This window comes from Homo sapiens, chromosome 5 (assembly GCF_000001405.40).
Source record: "Homo sapiens chromosome 5, GRCh38.p14 Primary Assembly".
NCBI lineage: Eukaryota > Metazoa > Chordata > Mammalia > Primates > Hominidae > Homo > Homo sapiens.
The window spans coordinates 134,924,645-134,949,646 of NC_000005.10; the positions used below are offsets into that span (position 1 = coordinate 134,924,645).

Genomic DNA, 25,002 nt, shown 5'->3' on the forward strand with positions numbered 1-25,002 from the left:
AGATTATGTGATTAGGAGTAGGGTTAGGATGAGTGGGAAGAAGAAAGAGAGGAAATAAAGTTTGATTATGCCTTTTTGGGTTGAGGTGATGATGGAGGCGGAGATTTGGTGTTGTGAGATTGTTTTAGGTAGTAGCTTTTCTAGTCAGGCCAGGTCTAGGAGGAGTAGGGGTAGGTTTTGGCTTGTAAGAAGGCCTAGATAAGGGACTGTGCGGTGTATGATACTAGGGTAAAATCCGAGTATATTAGAGAAGTAAAATGTATACAGTGGGGATTTTATTTTGAGTTTGTTGGTTAGGTAGTTGAGATCTAGGGCTGTTAGAAGTCCTAGGGAAGTGACGCCTAGGGCTGTGAGTTTTAAGTAAAGTGGGATTGTCATTTGGGGGGTGGATGTGGGGAGAATGCTGTTGGTGATGAGAAACCCTGCAAATAGGCTTCCGATTGTTAGGCGTTTAATGGGGTTTAGTAGGGTGGGGTTGTTTTCGTTAATGTTAGTGAGGGCTGGGAAGCGAGGCTGACCTGTTAGGGTGAGAAGAATTATTCGAGTGCTATAGGCGCTTGTCAGGGAGGTGGCGATGAGAGTAATAGACAGGGCTCAGGCGTTTGTGTATGATATGTTTGCGGTTTCGATGATGTGGTCTTTGGAGTAGAAACCTGTGAGGAAGGGTATTCCTGCCAATGCTAGGTTGCCAATGGTGAGGGAGGTTGAAGTAAGAGGTATGGTTTTGAGTAGTCCTCCTATTTTTCGAATATCTTGTTCATTGTTGAGGTTGTGGATGATGGATCCGGAGCATATAAATAGTATGGCTTTGAAGAAGGCGTGGGTACAGATGTGCAGGAATGCTAGGTGTGGTTGGTTGATGCCGATTGTGACTATTATAAGTCCTAGTTGGCTTGAAGTGGAGAAGGCCACGATTTTTTTGATGTCATTTTGTGTAAGGGCGCAGACTGCTGCGAACAGAGTGGTGATAGCGCCTAGGCATAGTGTGAGAGTTTGGATTAGTGGGTTATTCTCTGCTAGGGGGTGGAAGCGGATGAGTAGGAAGACTCCTGCTACAACTATAGTGCTTGAGTGGAGTAGGGCTGAGACAGGGGTGGGGCCTTCTATGGCTGAGGGGAGTCAGGGGTGAAGGCCTAATTGAGCTGATTTGCCTGCTGCTGCTAGGAGGAAGCCTAGTAGTGGGGTGAGGCTTGGATTAGCACTTAGGAGGGTTATTTGTTGTGGGTCTCATGAGTTGGAGTGTAGGAGAAATCATGCTAGGGCAAGGATGAAACCGATGTCGCCGATACGGTTGTATAGGATTGCTTGAATAGCTGCTGTGTTGGCATCTGCTCGGGCGTATCATCAACTAATGAGTAAAAAGGATATAATTCCTACGCCTTCTCAGCCGATGAATAGCTGGAATAGGTTGTTAGCAGTGACTAGGATTAGTATGGTGATTAGGAAGATGAGTAGGTATTTGAAGAATTGATTAATGTTTGGGTCTGAGCTTATATATCATAGTGAGAATTCTATGATGGATCACGTAACGAACAGTGCTACAGGGATAAATATTATGGAGAAATAATCTAGTTTGAAGCTTAGGGAGAGTTGGGTTGTTTGGGTTGTTGCCCAGTGTCAGTTTGAGATAATGACTTCTTGGTCTAGGTATATGAATATTGTTGTGGGGAAGAGACTAATAACAAGGGTGGATGCGATAATGGATTTTACTTAATGGGGATATGAGTTTTTTTTATTAGGGTTAATGAGGGTGGTAAGGATAGGGGGAATTAAGGAAGTTAGGGCTAGGGTGGGTATAGTAGCGTACATGGTTATTACTTTTATTTGGAGTTGCACCAAAATTTTTGGGGCCTAAGACCAACGGATGGCTGTTATCCTTTAAAAGTTGAGAAAGCCATGTTGTTAGACATGGGGATATGAGTTAGCAGTTCTTATGCGCTTTCTCGGTAAATAAGGGGTCGTGAGCCTCTGTTGTCAGATTCACAATCTGATGTTTTGGTTAAACTATATTTACAGGAGGAAAACCCGGTAATGATATCGGGGTTGAGGGATAGGAGGAGGATAGGGGATAGGTGTATGAACATGAGAGTGTTTTCTCGTGTGAATGAGGGTTTTATGTTGTTAATGTGGTGGCTGAGCGAGCCTCATTGTGTTGTGGTAAATATGTAGAGGGAGTATAGGGCTGTGATTAGTATGTTGAGTCCTGTAAGTAGGAGAGTGATATTTGATCAGGAGAATGTGGTTACTAGCACAGAGAGTTCTCCTAGTAGGTTAATAGTGGGGGGTAAGGCGAGATTAGTGAGGCTTGCTAGAAGTCATCAAAAGGCTATTAGTGGGAGTAGGGTTTGAAGTCCTTGAGAGAGAATTATGATGCGACTGTGGGTACGTTCGTAGTTTGAGTTTGCTAGGCAGAATAGTAATGAGGATGTAAGTCCGTGGGCGACTATGAGAATGACTGCGCCGGTGAAGCTTCAGGGGGTTTGGATGAGGATGGCTGTTACTACGAGGGCTATGTGGCTGATTGAAGAGTATGCAATGAGCGATTTTAGGTCTGTTTGTCGCAGGCAGATGGAGCTTGTTATAATTATGCCTCACAGGGATAGTACAAGGAAGGGGTAGGCTATATGTTTTGTCAGGGGGTTGAGAATGAGTGTGAGGCGTATTATACCATAGCCGCCTAATTTTAAGAGTACTGCAGCAAGTACTATTGACCCAGCGATGGGGGCTTCGACATGGGCTTTAGGGAGCCATAGGTGGAGACCGTAAAGAGGTATTTTTACTATAAAAGCTATTGTGTACGCTAGCCATATTAAGTTATTGGCTCAGGAGTTTGATAGTTCTTGGGCAGTAAGAGTGAGTAATAGAATATTCAGTGAGCCTAGGGTGTTGTGGGTGTAGATTAGTGCGATGAGTAGGGGGAGGGAGCCTACTAGGGTGTAGAATAGGAAGTATGTACCTGCGTTCAGGCGTTCTGGTTGGTTGCCTCATCGGGTGATGATAGCCAGGGTGGGGATAAGTGTGGTTTCGAAGAAGATATAAAATATGATTAGTTCTATGGCTGTGAATGTCATAATTAAGGAGATTTGTAGGGAGATTAGTATAGAGAGGTAGAGTTTTTTTCGTGATAGTGGTTCATTGGATAAGTGGCGTTGGCTTGCCATGATTGTGAGGGGCAGGAGTCAGGTAGTTAGTATTAGGAGGGGGGTCGTTAGGGGGTCGGAGGAGAAGGATAAGGAGCAGCTAAATAGGTTGTTGTTGATTTGGTTGAAAAATAGTAGGGGGATGGTGCTAATAATTAGGCTGTGAGTGGTTGTGTTGATTCAAATTATGTGTTTTTTGGAGAGTCATGTCAGTGGTAGTAATATAATTGTTGGGACAATTAGTTTTAGCATTGGAGTAGGCTTAGGTTATGTACGTAGTCTAGGCCATACGTGTTGGAGATTGAGACTAGTAGGGCTAGGCCTACTGCTGCCTTGCAGGCAGCAAAGACTAGTATGGCGATAGGTACAATATTGGCTAAGAGGGAGTGGGTGTTGAGGGTTATGAGAGTGGCTATAATGAATAGTGATAGTATTATTCCTTCTAGGCATAGTAGGGAGGATATCAGGTGTGAGCGATATACTAGTATTCCTAGAAGTGAGATGGTAAATTCTAGTATAATATTTATGTAAATGAGAGGCATTTGGTAAATATGATTATCATAATTTAATGAGTCGAAATCATTCGTTTTGTTTGAACTATATACCAATTCGGCTCAGTCTAACCCTTTTTATAATCATTCGTAGGCCAGACTTAGGGCTAGGATGATGATTAATAAGAGGGACGATGTGACTATTAGTGGTAAGTTAGTTGTTTGTAGGGCTCATGGCAAGGGTAAAAGGAGTGAAGGGTATTAAGAATGACTTCCAGGCTGGGCGCGGTGGCTCACGCCTGTAATCCTAGCACTTTGGGAGGCCAAGACAGGCAGATCACGAGATCAGGAGATTGAGACCATCCTGGCTAACGTGGTGAAACCCCGTCTCTACTAAAAATACAAAAAAATTAGCCAGGCGTGGTGGCGGGCGCCTGTAGTCCCAGCTACTTGGGAGGCTGAGGCAGGAGAATGGTGTAAACCCGGGAGGCAGAGCTTGCAGTAAGCCAAGATCGTGCCACTCCAGCCTAGGCAACATGACTCCCAGATTTCGGGCCTGGAGGAAAGGAGGAAATAGGTGGCTGGAAGTGATATTTACTGAGCTGGGGAAGTGTGGGAGAGGAATGGGTTTGGGATGCAGGGATCAAGATTTCTGGTTTGGACACTGTTTAAGGAGTGCTGTGAGACATCCAAATGTCAACTTCCAGAAAATTTATGTCTGAATTAGAAAGCCAGAGGTGAGGTCTGGGTTGGAGATAATTGGAGAATCATAGGTATTTATGGAAAAAAGCCAAGGTAATAGATGAGATGACTCAAGAAGAAATTATAGTGTGAGAAGAGAGGATGGCTCAGGACTTGGTCCATTTAGGGGTGAGTTAGAAGAGGAGGAGTTGGCAAAGACAAGAAAGATTTGTTAGATAAATGGAAAAAGGCTGTTGGCTCTTGCCTGTAATCCCAGCATTTTGGGAGGCCAAGGCGGGAGAATTGCTTGAGGCCAGGAGTTTGAGGCTGCAGTGAGCTATGATTGTGCTACTGCACTGCAACCTGGGTAATAGAGCGAGACCTTGTCTCAAAAAAAAAAAAAAAAAAGGGAAGAAAATCAGGTCAATGTCATGTCACAGAATCCAAAAGAAGATGGTGTTTCAAAAGGAGGGAAGTATGAATTCTGCTGAGACACCAAGTAAGATGAGTACCAGGGGATGCCCATTGGAGGAAGCAGCATGGAGGACATCAGTGACCGTAGCAAAGTTGGTTTCGGTGGGTGGGGCACAGGACAGCCTGGAGAGGAGGTGGAGATCTTATGCTTTATACAGACCTGGTAGTCTCAGACATTAGTCTGTTGTCTTTTCTTTCCATTTAGAATTCATTCCTAGACTTATACTTGTTTGTGGTGTTCTTTCAGACTTATTTTTTAAATTAAAAACATTGTTTTTAGAGATGGGGTCTTCCTCTGTCATCTAGCCTTGAGTACAGTGGTGTGATCATAGCTCACTGCAGTCTCCAACTCCTGGGCTCAAGTGATCCGCCTGCCTCAGCCTCCCAAGTAGCTTGGACTACAGGCACATGCCACCATGCCTGGCTAATTTTTAAAACATTTTTTGTAGAGACAAGGTCTCGCTATGTTGCCTAAGTTGGTCTTGAAATCCTGACCTCAACAGTCCTCCCACCCCACCCTCTCAAAGTATTGGGATTACAGGCATGAGCCATCGTTCCCAGCCCAGCCTTGTTTTGATATTAATTAAGCATCTTAGAGCTTTGATATAGGGCCTATCAATATTAGAGCTAGAAAGGATGGGGCAACTGAAGCCCAGGGGTAATGTAGTTTGCCCAGGGTGACAACGAACTAGTGGCAAAGTTAGGACAAGACTAAATGCAACTTAGATTATGAACAGGGTCATGTAACTGTTTACTCATGTCTCTCTCCAGCTAAGGTATAAGCAGCTTGAGGACAGAGACTTGGATTGTACCTGTGTACATCTCCCATAGTACCTAGCCCAGGGTTACCTAGTTGTATTTTGAATGCATGAGGGCCCATGATTAGGTTCCCCATGGGTGATCCTAGTCAGTGCACTTAGTCCCAGGGGAACATAGTGTTTCATCTTTTTGTTCCCTGTAGGATACATACAACCCTTTCTCACCAGGGACTTTTCCTCTCCCTCATCTCCTTACTCCTAGATATCGATGATTCCTAATGGTGACCAGCTTATCTGGCTGCTAAGTTGCTGTGTCTGAGAGATGAGAGAGGGTGCTCTGCATTGCCACAGGGTGCTTCCCAGAACAGCAGCATTGATTGTGCCTTTGTTCTGCATGCAGTACTGAGACATCAGAGAAGAAAATGGCTGCTCATGGTGTCTCTAGTCAGTTGTCTCCAACCATGAGAGAGACTAAGACTGGCATTCAGTATTTTAGCACCACGGTTTCAGCCACCCACAACTACAGCCACAATCGGATGAGAATATTGATGTCCTGAGGGCCAGTGGCAGATACTCGACCAAATACCACACTGGGAGGCTGCCACAGGCCTGTTCGCTGGCTATCCATTAGGCATTCATTTCTGTTTCAAGACAATTCTTTAATCTCAAATTCTTTCTTTCCCTTTCCTTTTCTGTGACCACTGGTCCAGCGTTCTTGGCTGATTTTTCTTTTTCTTTTTGTTTTTTGAGACAGAGTCTTGCTCTGTTGCCCACGCTGGAATGCAGTGGCATGATCGTGGCTCACTGCAACCTTCACCTCCCAGGTTCACGCCATTCTCCCACCTCAGCCTACCGAGTAGCTGGGACTACAGGCACCCACCACCATGCCCGGCTAATTTTTTTTTATTTTTAGTAAAGACAGGGTTTCACCGTGTTAGCCAGGATGGTCTCGATCTCCTGACCTCGTAATCTGCCTGCCTTGGCCTCCCAGCACTTTGGCCACCGCGCCGGCCTTCTTTTTCTTTTTTTTGAATCATAACTTGGTGGTGTGCTATAAAGAAAAGCTAAAATATATTGGCAGTAATTTGAGGAATTAATTTTAGAAATTTGGATATAAAAATGTTGCTTTAAGGTCATTCTGTACACAGGTAACTCTTAATATTGCATCATTTACCTGAAATGCAGCCAAATCAGTTTTCTTTGTGACAGATTAGAGGGTTACAAAGTATTTTATGAACTAATGAGTGTTTGAGTGTCTATTGGGTATAGTAGCTCATTGTTAGGTGACCTATGAACTAACATAGGTTGTTTCATTGAAGCTTCCCAGAAGCCTCCTAAGGTTAGGTGTTCGTATTCCCATTTTGCTAATGGTGGAAAAGTCAGGGAAGTTAAAGAGCTTGCTCAAACTTCCAGAGGAAGTGGGCAGTGGGACCATCATTCCAAGGCCAGATATCCCACCCTAAGGTGACTGCTCTTCTCTTAACACAAGTCTGTATTTTGAAGAATTGTAGAATAACAAAGGATATGGATTGCAGTTTTGTTTAGGAATGTCTTAGAGCTTTGAATGGGCAACTCTGCTATTCAGAATTGAATCTGTTCTGTTTAGGAAGAAATGTTTATTTTGGAGTGCTTAAAGGAGGCGTATGTTATTTGCATGTTTTGAAGAAAAAGATTGCCAGCTACTGAAAGGAATTTGACTTGTAAATTGCTACATGGTTCCCTATGCCCTACCCTGAAAGCATTAGTTTATAATACTGGATTGATCAATGATCAGTTCTAAGTCTGTTACAGATTGGAGGTGAGCATCTATCTAGAGGGGAAAGTCACTTCCAGATAGGTCTGCAGAGAGCAGCTGAAAACTTTATTTGGAGAAGTGGAACTCTGCATACAGAAGATAAACATCGAAGCCACTAACCGTATAGCTGTGGATACAGATGCATAGAAGAGAGGGCCATTTTAATTCTGAGTTTCTTTAAACAATTTTTTTTTGTTTCTTTTTATTATTTTTTAAGAGATGGGGTCTCTGTTGCTTAGATTGGAGTGCAGCGACGTGATCGTAGCTTACTGTAGCCTCAAATTACTGGGCTCAAGCGATCCTCCTACCTCCGCCTCCTGAGTAGCTGGGACTATAGATGCATGCCACATTGCCTGGCTAATTTTTTTTTTTATTTGAGTTGTAGTCTTGCTCTGTCACCCAGGCTGGAATGCAGTGGTGCGATCTCAGCTCACTGCAACCTCCGTCTCCTGGGTTCAAGCAATTCTCCTGCTTCAGCCTCTCAAGTAGCTGGGATTACAGGGATGCGCCACCACGCTCAGCTAATTTTTGTATTTTTAGTAGCAACATGGATTCACCATGTTGGCCAGGCTGGTCTTGAACTCCTGACCTCAAGTGATCCCCCCTGCCTTCTCAGGCAGGGATTATAGATGTGAGCCACCATGCCCACCCCTGGCAAATTTTTTAATTTTACTTTTTTTTGTGGAGATGGGATCTCACTATGTTGCCCAGGCTGGTCTTGAATTCCTGGCCTCAAGCGATCCTCCCATCTTGGCCTCCCAAAGTGCTGTGATTACAGGCGAGAGTCACCACACCTGGCCAATTCGGAGTTTCTTAAACTATGATTCTGTTATGTAAGCTTGTGGGTGAGTCTCTTCCATTTTTCTATGTGTTTAAAACTGTGAGCTTTAAATAGAAGGGTTTAACATTTATAGGTCACTCATACTCCACAGAGATCCACATCCACCAGGCCTCTCATTCTAATAGGAATGATACCCTCCTGTTAACATTTGAGTGGCATGTTCAGCTGGTAAATAAATTTTTTTTTATGATTGCATAATATGTTTTATAATTTGGAAAACAGAAAAGTATAAAGAAGAAAAATATACCTGTAATCTTTCTGCTCACTTAAAAACGCTGTGAATGTGCATTTGTGTGAATGTTTATGTATGTATATATATTTGGGATCATATTATAGATATTTTTGGTCAGTTGCTTCTTTCATTTCATGTATAGTGAATATTTTCACATCAGTAAAATATTTTACCTCATGATTTTTTGTTTTGTTTTTTGAGACAGGGTCTCACTGTGTCACCTATGCAGGATTCAGTAGTGCCATCTTGGCTCACTGCAGCCTCTATCTTCTGGGCTCAGATGATCCTCCTACCTCAGCCTCCTGAGTAGCTGGGACTACAGGCATGCGCCACCACACCCGGCTAATTTTTGTATTTTTTGTAGAGACTGGGTTTTGCCATATTGCGCAGGCTGGTCTTGAACTCCTGGGTTCAAGCAGTCCACCCACCTCAGCCTCCCAAAGTTCTGGGACTGTAGGCATGAGCCACTGCAGCTGGCTTACCACACGATTTTGAATGGTGGGAGATATATAAATTATTCCATTGAACAAAAAAGCCATATTTAATTTAGCCAATCCCTTTCTACGGTAACCATCCTCACAGAAGAGGCTTTGTGAGCCCACCTTTTCTAAATGCTCCGTATTAATGCTGTCAGTTGGACACAAAAGTGTCAGGGAGCTGTACTGGGTAGTTCTTGCTAAATATACTCAGGATCTCCATGCCCATTGAGATCAGGAATAGATCCAGTCACCTGTTAAAAAAGTAAATAGAAATCATCACCTAGATAGAATTGATCCATTGAAGCTAAAAAATCAAGCCCTTCAAGTTACTTGAGACAGCCAGAAGGAAAATGTTATGTTATAGGGCTTTGTAGCCACCATTCTCACAGCTTAGTGCAATGGTGTAGGAAATATTTTCACAGAAATATTTCTCTTTTAGAGAGTTTTTTCGGATAAAGAAGGCTTGTTTAATTCAGGAAGAGTTATTTCATAGGAAATTAAATCTTTGTAAATCCTCTATCACATTTCCACACTTGCTAGTTCTGTGGCAAATGATGGCTTTCGAGTGGTTCAGGAAGGGTTTCCTGAAAGCAAACAATTCCATGTTTTATACATATTTGTGTTTTTATTTTTGAATTGGATAAGTAAGGGACATGTACTTTCCCCTTTGTATTTGTCTCTGGGTGATATTGCTGGTTCTCAAACTCAGAATGGTAATTAATTACTTATAATGATTTTAAAAAAAAAAATTTCACTTGGTGAAAATGTTTTCTTGGGCCCGATGAATGACCCCAAAGAACTTTTACAACACAACCAGTAATGTTGGGCAGGTGCTGGAGAGTGGCTGCTGCTTAGAGATCAGTAATTGTTACATCATGGTTTGGTATGCTCCGTGGTGTCTAATCAGGTCGTGTGCTTGGGAACCATGAAATAATTCTCTTTTCAAGTCTTAGTGCATCATTTTTTCTGACATTGATCAAAGATTGGAAAACTAGTATTATATTTGTAGCCACGGTATTCATAACTGTCTTACATTCTTAATCTTTCGGCTTTTTGGTTGAAATACATCTATGCCTCTTAAATATTGAAGGCATAATATCCTTTAACCTACAACTGCAGAGTTAAAATGAATTTTATGTGAAATATTTAGTTGTGGACCACATCTTCAGCTTTTTATATGCCACAGTGGTCTTGTTTTTTTCCCTTCCATTGTCTGATAGTGAGGTCATTTTCAGTCCTCTGAGAAATTCTATTCCCAGCCAGATGCGGCTCATATATTAAAAGTAGCACCTGTGGCTAATATCACAGCAGCTTACCATAAATTTACATGGTAACTAGGATTATATCTGTCAAGACTGTTAAAAAACATCTAGATTTAATTTGATTTCCAGTATTGTAGAAGCTATCCAACATTTTGCTTCATAACTATATTTTAAAAGTTAAAAATCACTCCATTGTTAAGTTTTATAGCACTCCTAGTGCCCATTAAGTTGATTTGTTCAATGGAGGTCAGAGTAAAGCAACTTGGCTACATTAAGATCGGAAACCAACCCATTTGTGACAAATTTAGTCCTTTCGTGTGAATCTTCTCAATGTTTCTGCACTGATTGGATTCAGGTGTAGCTTATGTCAGTAGCATTTAACCTCAAAAGAATGAGCAATCTGATTGGGTTGTTGTAAATTATGAAGCATTTTGCTTTTGCTGGTTTAAATGTAACTGTTGACTCTGCTGCCCGTGCCTGACTGCGCCACTGCATCTGCCTAAACAGGAGTGGTTTGGGTTTGAAGACATCTTAGAAAATTGGGTACATGCCCTCATCCCTTTCCCTCCTTTATGTGACCTTCCTAAACTCCTTTATTCCCCATTATCCTTTGAGTCATCTCCCACATGTTACGATTTGCACACCTGCAGTTATAAAATTATTTTGGGGTGTCATTATATCATGTTGTTCACCAACTTTCCAGCATTTATGAATGCAATAATGATTCACTGTAAATCAAAATAATTTACAAGTTACAGAGAATCTGCTCCTACAAATAAGAATTGAATGATGAATTTCTTTGGTGTCCTCTCATTTGACAAAGAAACTGATAACATATTTCTTTGTATTTGTAAAATTTAGCTAGCAGTCCAGAATGGAATTAAAAGTATAAGTTCAACTTTCTGGAAATTTTGTGTTTTAAAACATGTTAAAAAATATAAACCAGTTAAGAAATAAGCAAAGTCTGTTTCCTCATTAATAGTTGCAATTGGCTTGGCAGTCATCTTGCTCCTGAATGAGACAGTTGTCATGTTAAGTGTTGGCGCCGAGGCTAGGGCAGCGTGCGTAGCCCTGAGTGGAAATGCCTGCTTTAAGCTGGAACTCAGTGTGGAGGTTCTTTCTGCTCTGTTGATCTTTCTGGAGGGAAGTTGTAAGCTTCTTTGGCCTGGGTCTCACTAAGGAAGTGGAACGGCAGCCAAGAATTATTATGCTGAAAATGTTGTGGTGATAGAAAAAAGATGATTAGAAGTGAGGCTAAAATTATAATTTAATATGTTACCAAGTGTAATTAGTCACTTAACAGTATAAGAAAATACCATTAATAACTGATGTGGAACCTTGTAAAATATTTCTTGGCGAATTTTAATGTCTTTTTTGTGTACTTAGGATCAGTTGAGCCCCGTGGGTAACTTGGGTGCCCTGTTTGTGACCCTGGCTTGCTGTGCAGGTTCCCCTTGGACATCTGTGGAGAGGAAGAGTAAGAAGGAGATGGCTGTGCCCAGCCCCGGCCTCTCACACAGCCTTCTGGATTGTTTTACCTCTGCTCCTTCACTCCTTAATAGCTCTCTGTGGTTAACCTTTCTGTCCTCCTCAGTCGCACTGGACGCTCCTTGAGGAACGGGAGCTGTGACCAGGGCCAGAGCCCAGGAAGGTGCTGGGTACAGAGCAGCAGATTGGTAACTGTTTATATCACATGCTTTCAGGAACAGACTGTTGGGAAGATTCTGGGATTTCCAGACATGTTAAAGGTTTCAGATCCTGTGTGGAAAGCAGAAACGTAAGAAACTGATAACTTGTTTTGCTGACCATGATCCTTTTTCTCTTCAGGTCATCCATTGCAGTATGATTTTGTTTCTAAAGGTATCAGTTAATGTTCTGAAGGGGACAGGATTCATGACATGCTGGTGATAAGGCTGCTTGCCAGGTAGCTACCTTTAAGATCCCCGAATTTAGCCTAAAAGGGCCCAGGAGCTGCATCTGTCCAGTGGCCAAAGACAGAACCTTAGAAGGTTGATTTTGAGAATAGAAGACCTGCTTGTTTTCAGGGAGAAGCATTATTTCTCTCTTCAACTCAGAGATGAGTTAAATCCTAAAATGATCATTGAAGTGCACATTGCCAGATTTTGTCACTCATTAGTGCCCTATTACCTTAGGTATAGGAAAAATGGCTATAATTTAAAACCAAATGAGCCAATTTTATAGCACTAAATAGGTATAAACTACTTCTGTGTGCATTGACTTAAAAGGCAATGTTTAGCTTGGTTCTTTCATAATTAACATTCCATGTTGAAAAATAAAAACTGGTATTGACTTTATTTTTATTTAGAATTTCGTTTTAAGCTATGTAAAATAGTATTGCATATTTGTTTTTTCAGATTTCAGATTATAATACATAAGTAAAGCATTTATTTCTTCTAATGAAATCCTTATTTAGCAAATTTTGGCTATTATAATAATATGGTTACTATTGGATGAACAGATATATCCATTTTACATGAAAATATTTTTTTCATTCCATCTACAGATATTTCTTTTTAAAATACATGCAACTTTTCCCTTACTAAAAAAGATGAATTTTATTTGAGAAATCAGTTACTTTGGTATTCTGAGACTAGGTTATAAATCTAATATTGCAGTGTTTTAGGACTATAATTAAGAATAGGTTCTGCTGGTAAATGTTGGAAAGAGGCAAAGAAGAAAGTTACAATACATTGCCTATTTACCAATTAACCATTACCTGCCAAAAGCACATCAGACTCACACAGCGGACATCCGCTAATCCAGTGGTTAGCTGTTCCGGGCTCTAATGCACACTGTTTTACACGTTAACGGTTTTGAAGTTCCAGGCCAAAGCTGACCTTTCACATGTGCTCCGTTCACAGTAGGAATCTCCACTCACTGCTTCCTGTCAGAATGGATTATGGTGACACAGCCCAGGGCCCACTTTGGCTGCAATTAAGTTTTTGATCAGAATTATTTCGTTCACAAACAATCACATTTGTTAAAATGTTACATCTGCCCTGAGAACCACTGGCAGACTCTCAGTTTATCAGTCTGATGCAAGCGTAAGTCTTCATTTGTTTTTCATAAAATGGCAAACCATCTTATACATGTTATTTAATTTTATTTTTTTCTTTTGTTGGTTTCTGCCTTTCATTTCATTGGGCTTGGAAGGAAACTGTGTCTTGAAATTAGTCTGAAGCCGCTTGAAGACTTTGGGAATTTGAATGGAATTGCTTTTGGTGCAGAACAAAATTATCCAGTTGGGAGCCAAGACTCAAATATTATTTCCAAAAATTGTTAGTGGTGGTTCTGTTTCTCACACGAGGAAACGTTTTAGCCTTGTGAGTGTGGGGCTTGAAGCTCTGCTTCTTGGTCTGCAGTGCCTGTAGCTGCCATGCCTACGATGTCGCTGCCTTTTGGTATTTATCATAAGGCATGTCTCCAGATCCGTCATTGTTGCCATCGACTTTGGTGCCAGAAGTGAAACCAGTCCTGCTTCAGTAGACTTGCCTCTCATGCCTCTTTGCCTCCCTTTTAGAAGTCATTTTCTCACTAAGGAACAGCAGCAGAGACACTGAAGGAACCTTTTCTCTGAATGACCATTTTTTGTTTATAAAATGATGTGGGTATTGATGGAACTTCTGAATTTTATAGCTGATTTTCACCATATGACGAGGGTGTCCTCTCACCCTTTTGTGACCTTCCTATTCTGGAGAAGAGTCTGTGTGCTTGGGAGCTTTATGTGTTGGGTGGGGTACTTTGGGAACACAGGATTAGAGTTTGGATTAGAGTTTGACTTAGAATGGAAATTAACCTTTGACTTAATTGTGTGTGAGAGTGGAGAAGGGGGAGGGGATAGAGTTAGGAGGCTGTGAAGTTAGGAATGCTTGAATGCTGTCTGAGAGGTTTAGAAATTTTAATTACTTTAAAAAATATATACTTAGAATACTGTTAAAGGAATTTTTACCAGGTTTTAAAATATTGCATTAAAACTCAAACTATTTCCCATTTGTTTTGACGTAACCAAACTCATTTATTACTAACTCATAAAGTTACAAGGGGCAAAAGAAAGGTGTTGTACAAAAAACCATTTTAGCCATAATTTTTTAAGCTTTTAAATAAAGCAGGGCCTAGCTGCACATCTAAAATCCAAAGACTTTACTTAAATGGGATAATGTAAGTACTGGTTATATTAATATAGCCTTCATATTGTCAGATTTGTGAGCACGCATAAATCTGTTTTCTTAAATGTATTATTATAATTGTTTTTTACTCTTTTAAAAATCATGTTTGGAATATACCTGACTATACTTACTATTTAAAGGAAATATATTTAAAGAAAATATTGAATAGTATATTTTGAAAGAAAACCCCAACATGTAACCTTCCAAAAATAGACATTCCTAAGGTACTGTCATCATTCAGTACCGTCCTGTCTTCTTAAAAAGTGGTACACAGACAGAAGGTGCAGAATTTGTATCTTATTACAAGCTCATGTTAATGTAGTCATTTTTTATTTTCAGGTTTTGATGTTTTGTTGTTTTTTTTTTTTTGAGATTCTGAAGTTTTTAGAAGTTTGTATTTATAACTTTTTAAGCCCATGTAATGCATATGGGGCATCTGCTGGGCCATAGGAGGAATCTTCACTTTTGGAGGGTGTTTTTAGGGAAATCGGAAGCAGTCAGGAGAAAGAATGGTGCATAGTGCCCCTGTCTGTTCAAAAAAACCAGAGGCTCCTAAAATCCTGTGTAGCATCTACCATGTACAGACAACCTCCATTCTTAAAACTTTAAATGCATCTAAGGAAGGGACAGCCTTCTGCCTGCAATGAGCAACAGCTTCACATGAGACACCCAAGAAGGTTCAAAAATACTCTTTCTGGAAAGGCTGATACAGACATCTGTGACTTGGGGTCTGCCTCACAGTATATGAAACTGAAAGATAGATTGGACACTTAACTACCTTAAAGTTTTACTAGAGCTTGTAAAGACACTTCCGAGGTCCCAAAGAGGTCCTTTATGCCAGACAGAGCCCTCTAGATTCTTTCCCAACCACCATGAAAAACCAGCCCTCTCTTCCTAAACAATGTAATTGCTGGCATAAGGAGACCCCCACTCTGTAATAAGAAATTTTTTTTTTTTTTTAAATCACCAGGAACATGGCACTTTTTTCCTTATGTTGGCCATCAGGTCACACAGCGGGAAGAACACCTATCATTGGTCCACCCACTTCTTCCCATTATGGGAAGGCTGAGGCTGAGAGGGAGAAGTAACTCTCCCAGGCGAAAGAGCTAGACCTGCACCCAGGTACACCTTCCTTTCTCTATCTGTGGACTTCTGGTGTCACAGGACTATTTGAGTAATTTTCCATTATACTCTGCATGGCCCAGAGAGATTTAAAGTTAAAGCAGAGTACCACTTTTGTAAATAAAATGAAATCAAACTCTAACAATTGTAAGGCATGATTTTCCAAGCCTCCGGGGTTTAGGGCAAGTAACTGCTGCCGTCCCTGCCGGCTCCAACCCTGTTGGTCTCCTGAGGCCTGGTTCTCTGGGTTGTACATTTCTTTTAGAACCACCCCAGTTTATTTCTGACCTTGTGCCCACATCCCATAGTCATGGTGCAGCATATATATTTTTTTTTTTAATAACCCTGGATGTGCAGGTGGTCATATTTCCTAAGGTTTCAATAAAGAATGTATCTCAGAACACCAGGGTAGGAATGGCTCTTAAGTTTGCACTGGGTGCTTGAGGTAAGATTAGGCAGACCCAGAGGGTAGTGGAGACTTTGACCTTATCATGAAACTCTTTAAATATCATAATTTTGAAAACATAAGATATGAGGTATTTCAGAGCAGTACTCTATTCTCTAGGCACTAAAGATAGAAGTGAATGAAGCTCTTTTTTCCTGACTTCTCAGCCTCCTCACAATCCCTTGGTGAGTGGCCCTCTTTTGGACAAGTGCAGGGGCTGAGTGTGGAGGTTGAGTGTCATGTCCACAGACACATGTGACAGGAAGAAGTATTTTGAGCATAAGAACTTGGTTCCTGGCCGGGCATGGTGGTTCACGCCTGTAATCCCAGCACTTTGGAAGGCCGAGGAAGGTGGATCATGAGGTCGAGACCATCCTGGCCAACACGGTGAAATCCCGTCTCTACTAAAAGTACAAAAATTAGCGTGGTGGCGCATGCCTGTAATCCCAGCTACTCCGGAGGCTGAGGCAGGAGAATCGCTTGAACCAGGGAGTTGGAGGTTGCAGTGAGCCAAGATCACGCCACTGCACTCGAGCCTGGGCAATAGAGCGAGAGTCCATCTCAAGGAAAAAAAAAAAAAAAAAAAAAAGAACTTGGTTCCTGAGAAGTCTACTTTGAGGATCTTTCCACAGCACACACTGCCTGCACCTTGGAGGATTTGATGATGATATCCTTGCCATTTCAGTTTTGGTAGGTAGATTATTTGTTCTGACAGGTTTAATTGTCATTGTTTTGGCACACTAGACTGTTAATACCTGAATTAATTGGTTGCTTTAATAGGTGTTCAGCTAAAAGAGGACTTCATCATATTATCTAATGTTTCCACTGGGAGTTGAAAAAAGGGATTTTAAAAAACTTTTTCATTTATTCCATAAATCCCCAAGTATAGAATTGCTCTTCTAATTTTGCCCCTGAAACTGCAATGTATGTTGATAGAGAGTTCAAAGATCTTTATATTCAGAAGGCCTGGCTTTTAAAAGATATATTTGGTATACATGTCTCTCTTCTACATGAAACCATAAAATGGTTTCTAAAAGAGACAGTTACTCGCTGTATGTGAGACTGTGAAGCTTCTAAAAATAAGTAAAGAAAACCATGGTGCCACATGGAGAATGAGTCGGATGTTTTAATAGTATTTAGTGATTCAGGATACACAATTAAATGAATATTATAACAGTTTTGGAAAAAAGGGCACAGGGAAAAAAACTACGTAATAATTTTTTCTTTTTCTAAAACCTGTTATACTTTATCTCTTGTAATTAAATTTAAAAAATAAGATTATGGGGGCTGGGTGTGGTGGCTCACGCCTGTAATCCCAGCACTTTGGGAGGCCGGGGCGGGTGGATCACGAGGTCAGGAGATTGAGACCATCCTGGCTAACACGGTGAAAGCCCGTCTCTACTAAAAAAGTACCAAAAAAAAAAAAAAGTTAGCCGGGCGTGGTGGCGGGTGCCTGTAGTCCCAGCTACTTGGGGGGGCTGAGGCAGGAGAATGGCGTGAACCCGGGAGGCGGAGCTTGCAGTGAGCCAAGATCATGCCACTGCACTCCAGCCTGGGCAATAGAGCAAGGCTCTGTCTCAAAAAAAAAAAAAAAAAAAAGATTGTAGGAAACTTATTTTTGCTAAAATTTACTTTTAAGTAAAAGAAAAAAAAAATGGAAAAAGTATAATCTGACATCAGGGATTTGTACCTAAAGATGCACACATGGAGGCTTTGGAGCTGGACATAGGGGACTTGAATTTGCATCCCAGCCTCACTTTTTATGAGGTGCGTGACTTTGGGCAAGTGATTTAACCCCTCAGAGCCTCAGTTCTCTTCTCTGTAAAATAGGAATGATAAACCTGTTCACAGGGCTGCAGTAAGTACCTGGTCCAGAGTAGTTATTTTATAAATGCTCATTATATTTTCCCCTCCTCTTCTTCATCCTAGAACTGAATGATGAGAATCAGTGGTCAGAGTAATGACTCTGAGATACACTCAGATCCATAGTCAGCAAGAATCAAGTTATGTTCAGAAGGTACTACTTGATCAGAAAAGAGGCTATTCAGGTATTGCCATTGAGATGATGAAAATAAAAAAGTAATTTATGATTAATACCAAAATAGAAGGTAATCAGAGATATCCTGTTCCTTGTGTATACTAGATGATAATATTATTAGTTTTAAATTTGAACATTACTGTGTATGTGAGGGCACTGTGCTGTGTGATTGGTTCATATCATCTCATCTTACCTAGATGGGAAATGCAGCCCAGCCAAGTCATACAGCCTGCTTAAGGTCTGGGTTGAGAGCCCAGGTTTTGGATTCCTGGTCTGATGCTCTTTCCATCATATTGCATTGTTTCTGATAAAGTAAATGTATTTTTAAAATGTCTTATTCCTTTGCAAATCAAATACATAAATAAAGTAACTATCATTTATTAATTTCCTTATTGATGGACATTTAGAGTCTTTCTCATGGTTTTAGTACGGTCAGTTCTGTAACAAGCATCCTATGTCTCCTTGTGCATAAGTGTAAGAGTTTCCATACAGCATAAATCTAGAAATGGAATTGCTGGGATAACTTCTGGTACATGGATTAATAAAAATGAAAAACCAGGATTATGAGAAGGTCTGGGCTTGATGACATTCACATTATAGCCCAGGGACAGGCTGTTTGTCATCAGAAAACCCCTTCCATTCATGAGGCCATAGAAATCCATGGTGACCGAAGCACTTGTGACTTCGGAGCAGTGTGATCTGATTTTGAAGTGGTTTTGAAAACTGGGGACGGTATACATAAGGTGCAAAGATCACGGAAACATGAATTAGCAAGTGGGGCCTCAGTCTAGGTTACGAGTGCTTTAGGACAAAAAATAATCACTTTTAAGGAAAAGTCACTGTTGATAGCACTCAGAATGCCACCAGTATTGCAGATTTGTAATCTATTACTTTAAACTTTTACAAATGCTCATGGTGTAAAGTTCAGACCCAAGTTACTGAATGTCTGTTGCCTGAAAAGGATACTTCAAAATTATATTTTCCCTTTAATTTCCTGAATCAAAAGGCTCCAGGTTGTGACAGAAATGTCACTACTTGCTGTCTCCATTCCTGTACAGAGACCCACAAGAGACTGAAAAATGGTGTTGGTCAAGTTGTCTTGGGTTCTGTGCCTTCTGGGACCGGTAGGAATGCAGTGTGGACTGCAGTGGAGCTGGGGTTGGGGAGCAAATGCCTGGTCTGCTAGTACTGTCTCATCCACTTGTGTTTTAGTAATCTCATTGCTTTCAGTGGAGGGATCCTATTTTACACTGATCTTTATGAGCAAAGATAATTATATATATTTGCCTGGGTAAGCAAATTAATAAACTTGTAACAAAGTGTATCAGACCATTTCTTTGGCAAGACCTACTAGAACAGTTTGTGAAGCAGAGCTGCTTCCAATGGAGCATGAAAAGCTTTGAAAATTCTCAGCAACAGCAGAAAGCAACATTTGAAACCACCCTTAAAAAATTGTTTTCCTCTTCCCCAACCAAGTTTATAAAAATTTGGTCAGACAGGCGTTTTGTTTTGATTTAAAATATTTTCAGTGAATTGTTATCTGCCGAATGCACATGTGTTCCTGCACTTTTTCTTTCATGATTGAAACTTTAAACCCTTCCCTTAAGTTCCCCTAAAAACCTCCCTGTGCCTAGTAAGGTTTTGCATGTGTGAGGAGGGTGAAGGTATTTGGACCTTGGAGAAACTTTGCAATTTGAAATCTGCCTATGCAGTTGTACACCAGAAATGAACATGGTCAATGCCATATTGTGCTCTTTGTCTTTTTCTTCTACCAAGATTCCTCACCCCTAGGAGACGTTGGTTAATATAGGCATTTCGGTTTGGTTAATCTGATCATGAGTGCCCGTGAGCATGGCATGAGGCATGATTGAAGCAGTTATAAAAATTTGGCTCAGAGTTAAGCCCTATAATTTGTTTTAAAGAATTACCTCTTCAGTGACATTAAAAAAAAAAACACAACAACCCAAAAACAACAACCAAAAGACTGTGGTTTATAACACCACACCTGGTCCAGATTGTACTGGATGAATCCATATTTGCTTTGCCATAAATGATTTTGAGGGTGGAATTCTTGGACTGTTTTCTATCTTATAAACCCTTGACATTGTACTGGTACCTGTATGCTCACAAACCTCCTGACATGGGAAAGACCGGCTCAGCCTCCCACTGAAATGTAGGTTGGCTGCATTTATTCTGCATGTTCCTAGAATGAGGAAATGATATGACAATAAACAGAAATGCCCTTGCTGAAGAGAGAAGGGAAGCTGGTGTTTATCTGGTCAGGTGGTTTAGATTAGCTGTGATGCAGCTTTGTATTATGTTACTTTAAATCATTGTGTCCCAACAGGACATAAATTATGAAGATTGTTACAGTATGTTTCATCCTATGTAAGATCAACAAATTGGAATAATTTTTTATAGGAAAATCACAGTGCTTTTGGCAAGGCTATTGAAGCCTTTAATTTGACTTGAGTATGTCTCAAATATTATTGCTTAATATATAAAGTATGATTTGCATAAGGTATGAAATAATAAACTTGTAAAAACAAAAGGGAAGAATTTCCCTGTAGCAGTTGCATCAAATGGCAGTGCACTCCTCCTCCAGCAGTGTGCTTTTTTTGCCCTGATGGTTTAGAGCCAGTTGCATGACTTTCCTCTGATGGGATTGCAAATGAGCTGAGCAGTCTTTGCAGAGATGGAGCTTTGCTGTGTGCTGCGTGCCTGTCAACCCTACCTGCACAGAGAAGGTGATTGCTCCGTGGCAGAACAGAATGGGAGCCTGCTCTGAGGAGGAGAAAACAAATGATCTTGTTTATATACACTCAGGAAAACAAACCATTTTTCTTTCTTTCAGGATATTGTGAATTACTTATATAAAAAAAGCCAACCTCTCCAGAAACTTCCTAGATCAACAGCTGAAGTTAAGATAATTTATATAGAAATGCGGAAAAATTTGACTTAAGAATTTATTATTTTAAATGTTTTCTCTCTTCATTGCTATTTTCTGAATTACTAGCATAATTTGTGAATTTTTGACACAGAGACTTAAAATTTTTCATTTATATTCAAGATTCAGCTAAGTTTGGCTACACAGAACAAATTTTCTAGATTTTAAAAAAGTGGCATAAAATTACTTTATGTATGATTCCAGCAAATTGGAACCGCTTCAGTGTCCCAAAGAAGCACATTTTCTGCGCAAAGCACTGTGCATTTTTGTGAGACCTCCTCACACCCAGTAGTGATGTTAAGAAGTAACAGAGCCTCAGATTTACAGAGTAGTAGAGGCAAGAGAGGTTTAGGATTTGCTGAAGGCCATAGAATGAGACATAGCTAGGATTAGCATTTTTCAGGATATAAGGATACCACCCACCAGACTTTGTCTTTGATACCAAAAATAGGGTTTAAGTGCTAAGCTTACTTTCCTTTCTTTGTGGCTATAAGCCCTGGTATTTTTCTTTAACAAATAATTAAAATTATTATTAAATAAATAAATATACTTAAATAAGATTGTTTAAAACAAAAACAAAAAATCCCTACTTTCCATCTATAAGGGTAGGAATGTTTCTCTCCTTAAGCCTACCCTTATAGGTTGGGTAGGCTTAAGGAGAGAAAAATAACAGGTTAAGGATAAATCCTGAATATATTTGTGGTTTCCTTCAGCTCGATGTCTGAAGATTCTCACAGGTTCAGGGACTATTCCAAGTTTGCAACCTGTGTGTGGATTTTGAAACAAATACAGACAACTTATGAGACGGTTTCTTTGCTGGGCTTCTTGCTTGACACAGTTTTCTGAAACATGGCTCTGGCAGGCTTTTTTCTTCCATGGACACATTGCTGCCGTTTATCACTGAAGTTCCTCTGTGGAGTTACCAGGAGCTAATATTTGGATGATGTACTTTTCTTGCAGAAAATATTAGCAAATGTTGCAGAAACTGTGCTTTAAAAACTTTTAAAAGGGGAATGGATTCCCAGTTTAAAAATAAGCAAAAGAAAGGATAAACATGATTTCATTGATGGTGTGCAACTGCTTTAGAACATCAGATATTTTGTGATGTGAAATGGGATGATACTCTATTTTACAAAATGTGTACTGCTTATAGAAAATGTATTTACTGTACCACTAAGCCAAACTTAGGTGTTGCTTTGTTTCCTTAAAATATTTTTTGAGTCGCTGTGGCTGCCCCACAGATGATGGGGGAGTAGGCATTCTTTCTGCCCAGAGCACTTGTTCTCTTCCTCCACCCTTTTGGTTGTTATTGTAGCATCTTGACTTTCAGCTTAACACATCCCAACTTAAGCAGAAGCCCTTTTGCCTTCTCTCTCTTTAAAACTAGATCCATAGAAATTATTTTTATTACAGTAATAGGGCAAGATAGTTTTATGTCATATATAAACTGGAATTATGTAGTGTTAGTAGTAGTTATGTCTCCTGAAAGGAACCAGTTGATTATAAAGAAGAAAAGTTAGGGAGTAGACTGTCATTTTGCATGCTATTAAAAAAAAAAATTTTTTTTTTTTTTGAGATGGAGTTTTGCTCTTGTTGCCCAGGCTGGAGTGCCATAGTGCGATAATGGCTCATTGCAATCCCTGCCTCCTGGGTTCAAGCGATTATCCTGCCTCAGCCTCCCGAGTAGCTGGGATTACAGGCATGTGCCACCACACTTGGCTAATTTTGTGTTTTTAGTAGAGACGGGGTTTACTCCATGTTGGTCAGGCTGGTCTCAAACCCCTGACCTCAGGTAATCTGCCTGCCTTGGTCTCCCAAAGTGCTGGGGTTACAGCCATCGCGCCCGGCCTCAATTTTTTTTTTTTTTTTTTTTTTGAGACGGAGTCTCGCTCTGTCACCCAGGCTGGAGTGCAGTGGCGCAGTCTTGGCTCACTGCAAGCTCCTGGGTTCATGCCATTCTCCTGCCTCAGCCTCCCGAGTAGGTGGCACTACAGGTGCCCACTACCACGCCTGGCTAATTTTTTGTATTTTTAGTAGAGACAGGGTTTCACCATGTTAGCCAGGATTGTCTTGATCTCCTGACCTTATGATCCACCCGCCTCGGCCTCCCAAAGTGCTGAGATTACAGATGTGAGCCACCGCGCTCGGCCCCCTGACCTCAATTTTTAAAAATATATTTGGGCAGGTACTTTGTGTATCTTAGTGGTTCGGAAGCACAAAGTTGAAGCCTATGAAGTCGTTTTTTTTTTATATAAAGTAGAATTTCTTATAATTTTATAATGATGACAGTACCAAGGAGCTTAAATACAATTTTTAAAAGGATTGCTAAAACAAAACTAACTAAACTTTGGTAATCTTTGCAATACCTCTCACCTCATAAGACTCTGAAAGCCAACAAATAAGGATTATCAGCAGATTAGGGAAGAAAACCTCCAACAGGACTTTTCTGAGGCAGCTGATTGGCAATAATGAACAGCCCCAGTGAATTGCAAAGCATCACAAGTTATTTTGACACCAGGGAACTCTGGTAAGGGGCTTCTCTTGGGGTGGTTTTAAAACCAGTGCTTCTGTTTGCTTTAGGAGAAAAGAATGGGTAGAAAACTGGTGAAATGTGCTAATTCAAAACTGAAAGATTGTGAGAAATTTAAGAAAGAGCTAATCAGACTGGGCAATTGGTCTGCCCAATAGTAGCTGATGAAGATATGGCGAAATGAATTTAAACTTAGGTGCAGAGGAATTTGGAAACCGGTAGTGTCTCTTCAGGGAAAAGATACTCATAGCTAGTGATCACCTTGGCCAGAATGTCTTTTTGGTATACATCAGCTGTGTGAACTCTATCTAGTTAGAGAACTTTCACTAAAAATGAAACAGAAATGAAGGGCCTTTTGGTAAAATCGTGTGTAGAGTTTTTTTTTGTGGATGTAAACCCTGCCACCTGGAGAATAGTGGATTTATATTAATATACTCCTATCTAAGAGGAGTTTTCCTAGCCTGGGAATTCAGTAGAAATTTACTGATGTATTGAAAGTCCTAATTCTGCAAAAGAAAGTTGTTTTGCACCTTGCTTTTCATTTAACAGTATATGTTGAAGATGGTACCATGTCATTAGCTAAAGAGTTGCCATATTTTTTCAATTGGCTGTGTAGGCTATTATGGCAATTGCCAAGAATAGTGACTTGAAGCTTTTTTTTTTTTTTTTAAAAGGCTCTAAAATGCTACAGTATGAAAACAGCTTTTGAAAGCAGTGTTTAGAAGTGAGCATGCTATCTCACAGGTGTTGACCTGTTCAGTGACATTTAAAAAATGTACTTATTACCATGAGCTAAGGGGGACTCATTTCGTCTGGGGCCTGGAAGAGCAGGCAGCTTTTTCAGTAGCTTGTGGATGTTGTCTTCAGTGCCTGGAGAAGCCAGTTTTAATTTCATAGTTGGATATTCTTGGCCTGAGTTATTGGAAATGTTGAGCTCTGTGGCGGATCAAGTAGATGGCAAGTAGACTAGTGGCTTAGGATTGGTGGGAGTTGTGTCTGCCCCCAGACACACAAGGGACTGCACAGGGAATGGTCCTCAAGCAGGCCTTTAGCCCCACTTCCTCAGGGAGACATGAGTCACCTGCTTGGCTGAGATGCTCGCTGACAGATTGCCAGTTCCGCAAGGAAATCTTCCCGTGCCGACACCCACTCAGAGAAACAGTGCTAAAGATGTTTCTGGTTTTCTGAGCCTTGTAAAGGTGAATTTCTTTGGCCTTCAAATTGGTCTTCTGCTAGGTTTGGAAAGGAATTCTTCCTTTCCAGGCCACAGACACTATAATATCAAAGTGTTATTGATGATGATAATAATCACTAGCATTAACTGAGTTCTTAATAGAGTGCCAGGCATACTGTAAAGTATATTACATGAATTAGCTCCTTTTACGTATGGGGAAACTGAAACTCGTTTCAAAAGTTAAGTAACTTTTCTGAGGTCATATAGCTAGTGAATAGCAGAGCTAGGAACTGAACTTAGTTGACCAGTGTGCTAAAAATATGTCTGACAGTCCAGAGAAAAAAAGCATGGATTAAATACATCTTTGGTTGGATCTGTTCCTCACAGTTTAGTTGAGAATATTCTT

The 25,002-nt window shown here is 40.5% G+C and overlaps 1 protein-coding gene and 4 pseudogenes across 1 annotated transcript in view, besides 2 other annotated features; 1 reads left to right on the plus strand and 4 right to left on the minus strand.

Annotated features, from left to right (window-relative positions):
- The window catches only part of PCBD2 (pterin-4 alpha-carbinolamine dehydratase 2), a 57,514-nt gene that overhangs the window by 19,514 nt on the left and 12,998 nt on the right, over positions 1 to 25,002 (plus strand). The gene's annotated exons all lie outside the window — the stretch shown is intronic.
- On the minus strand, positions 4 to 1,815 carry MTND5P11 (MT-ND5 pseudogene 11; annotated as a pseudogene).
- Positions 375 to 1,136: an enhancer, noted in NCBI's record as "OCT4-NANOG hESC enhancer chr5:134260709-134261470 (GRCh37/hg19 assembly coordinates)". NCBI's record gives its function as "activates a minimal SCP1, AML or CMV promoter by ChIP-STARR-seq in naive H9 embryonic stem cells {active_cell/tissue: H9 hESC(naive)}" and the evidence as "EXISTENCE:reporter gene assay evidence [ECO:0000049][PMID:30033119]".
- Positions 1,983 to 2,626: an enhancer, noted in NCBI's record as "OCT4-NANOG hESC enhancer chr5:134262317-134262960 (GRCh37/hg19 assembly coordinates)". NCBI's record gives its function as "activates a minimal SCP1, AML or CMV promoter by ChIP-STARR-seq in naive H9 embryonic stem cells {active_cell/tissue: H9 hESC(naive)}" and the evidence as "EXISTENCE:reporter gene assay evidence [ECO:0000049][PMID:30033119]".
- Positions 2,017 to 3,392, minus strand: MTND4P12 (MT-ND4 pseudogene 12; annotated as a pseudogene).
- MTND4LP30 (MT-ND4L pseudogene 30) lies at positions 3,386 to 3,682 on the minus strand (annotated as a pseudogene).
- MTND3P25 (MT-ND3 pseudogene 25) lies at positions 3,749 to 3,883 on the minus strand (annotated as a pseudogene).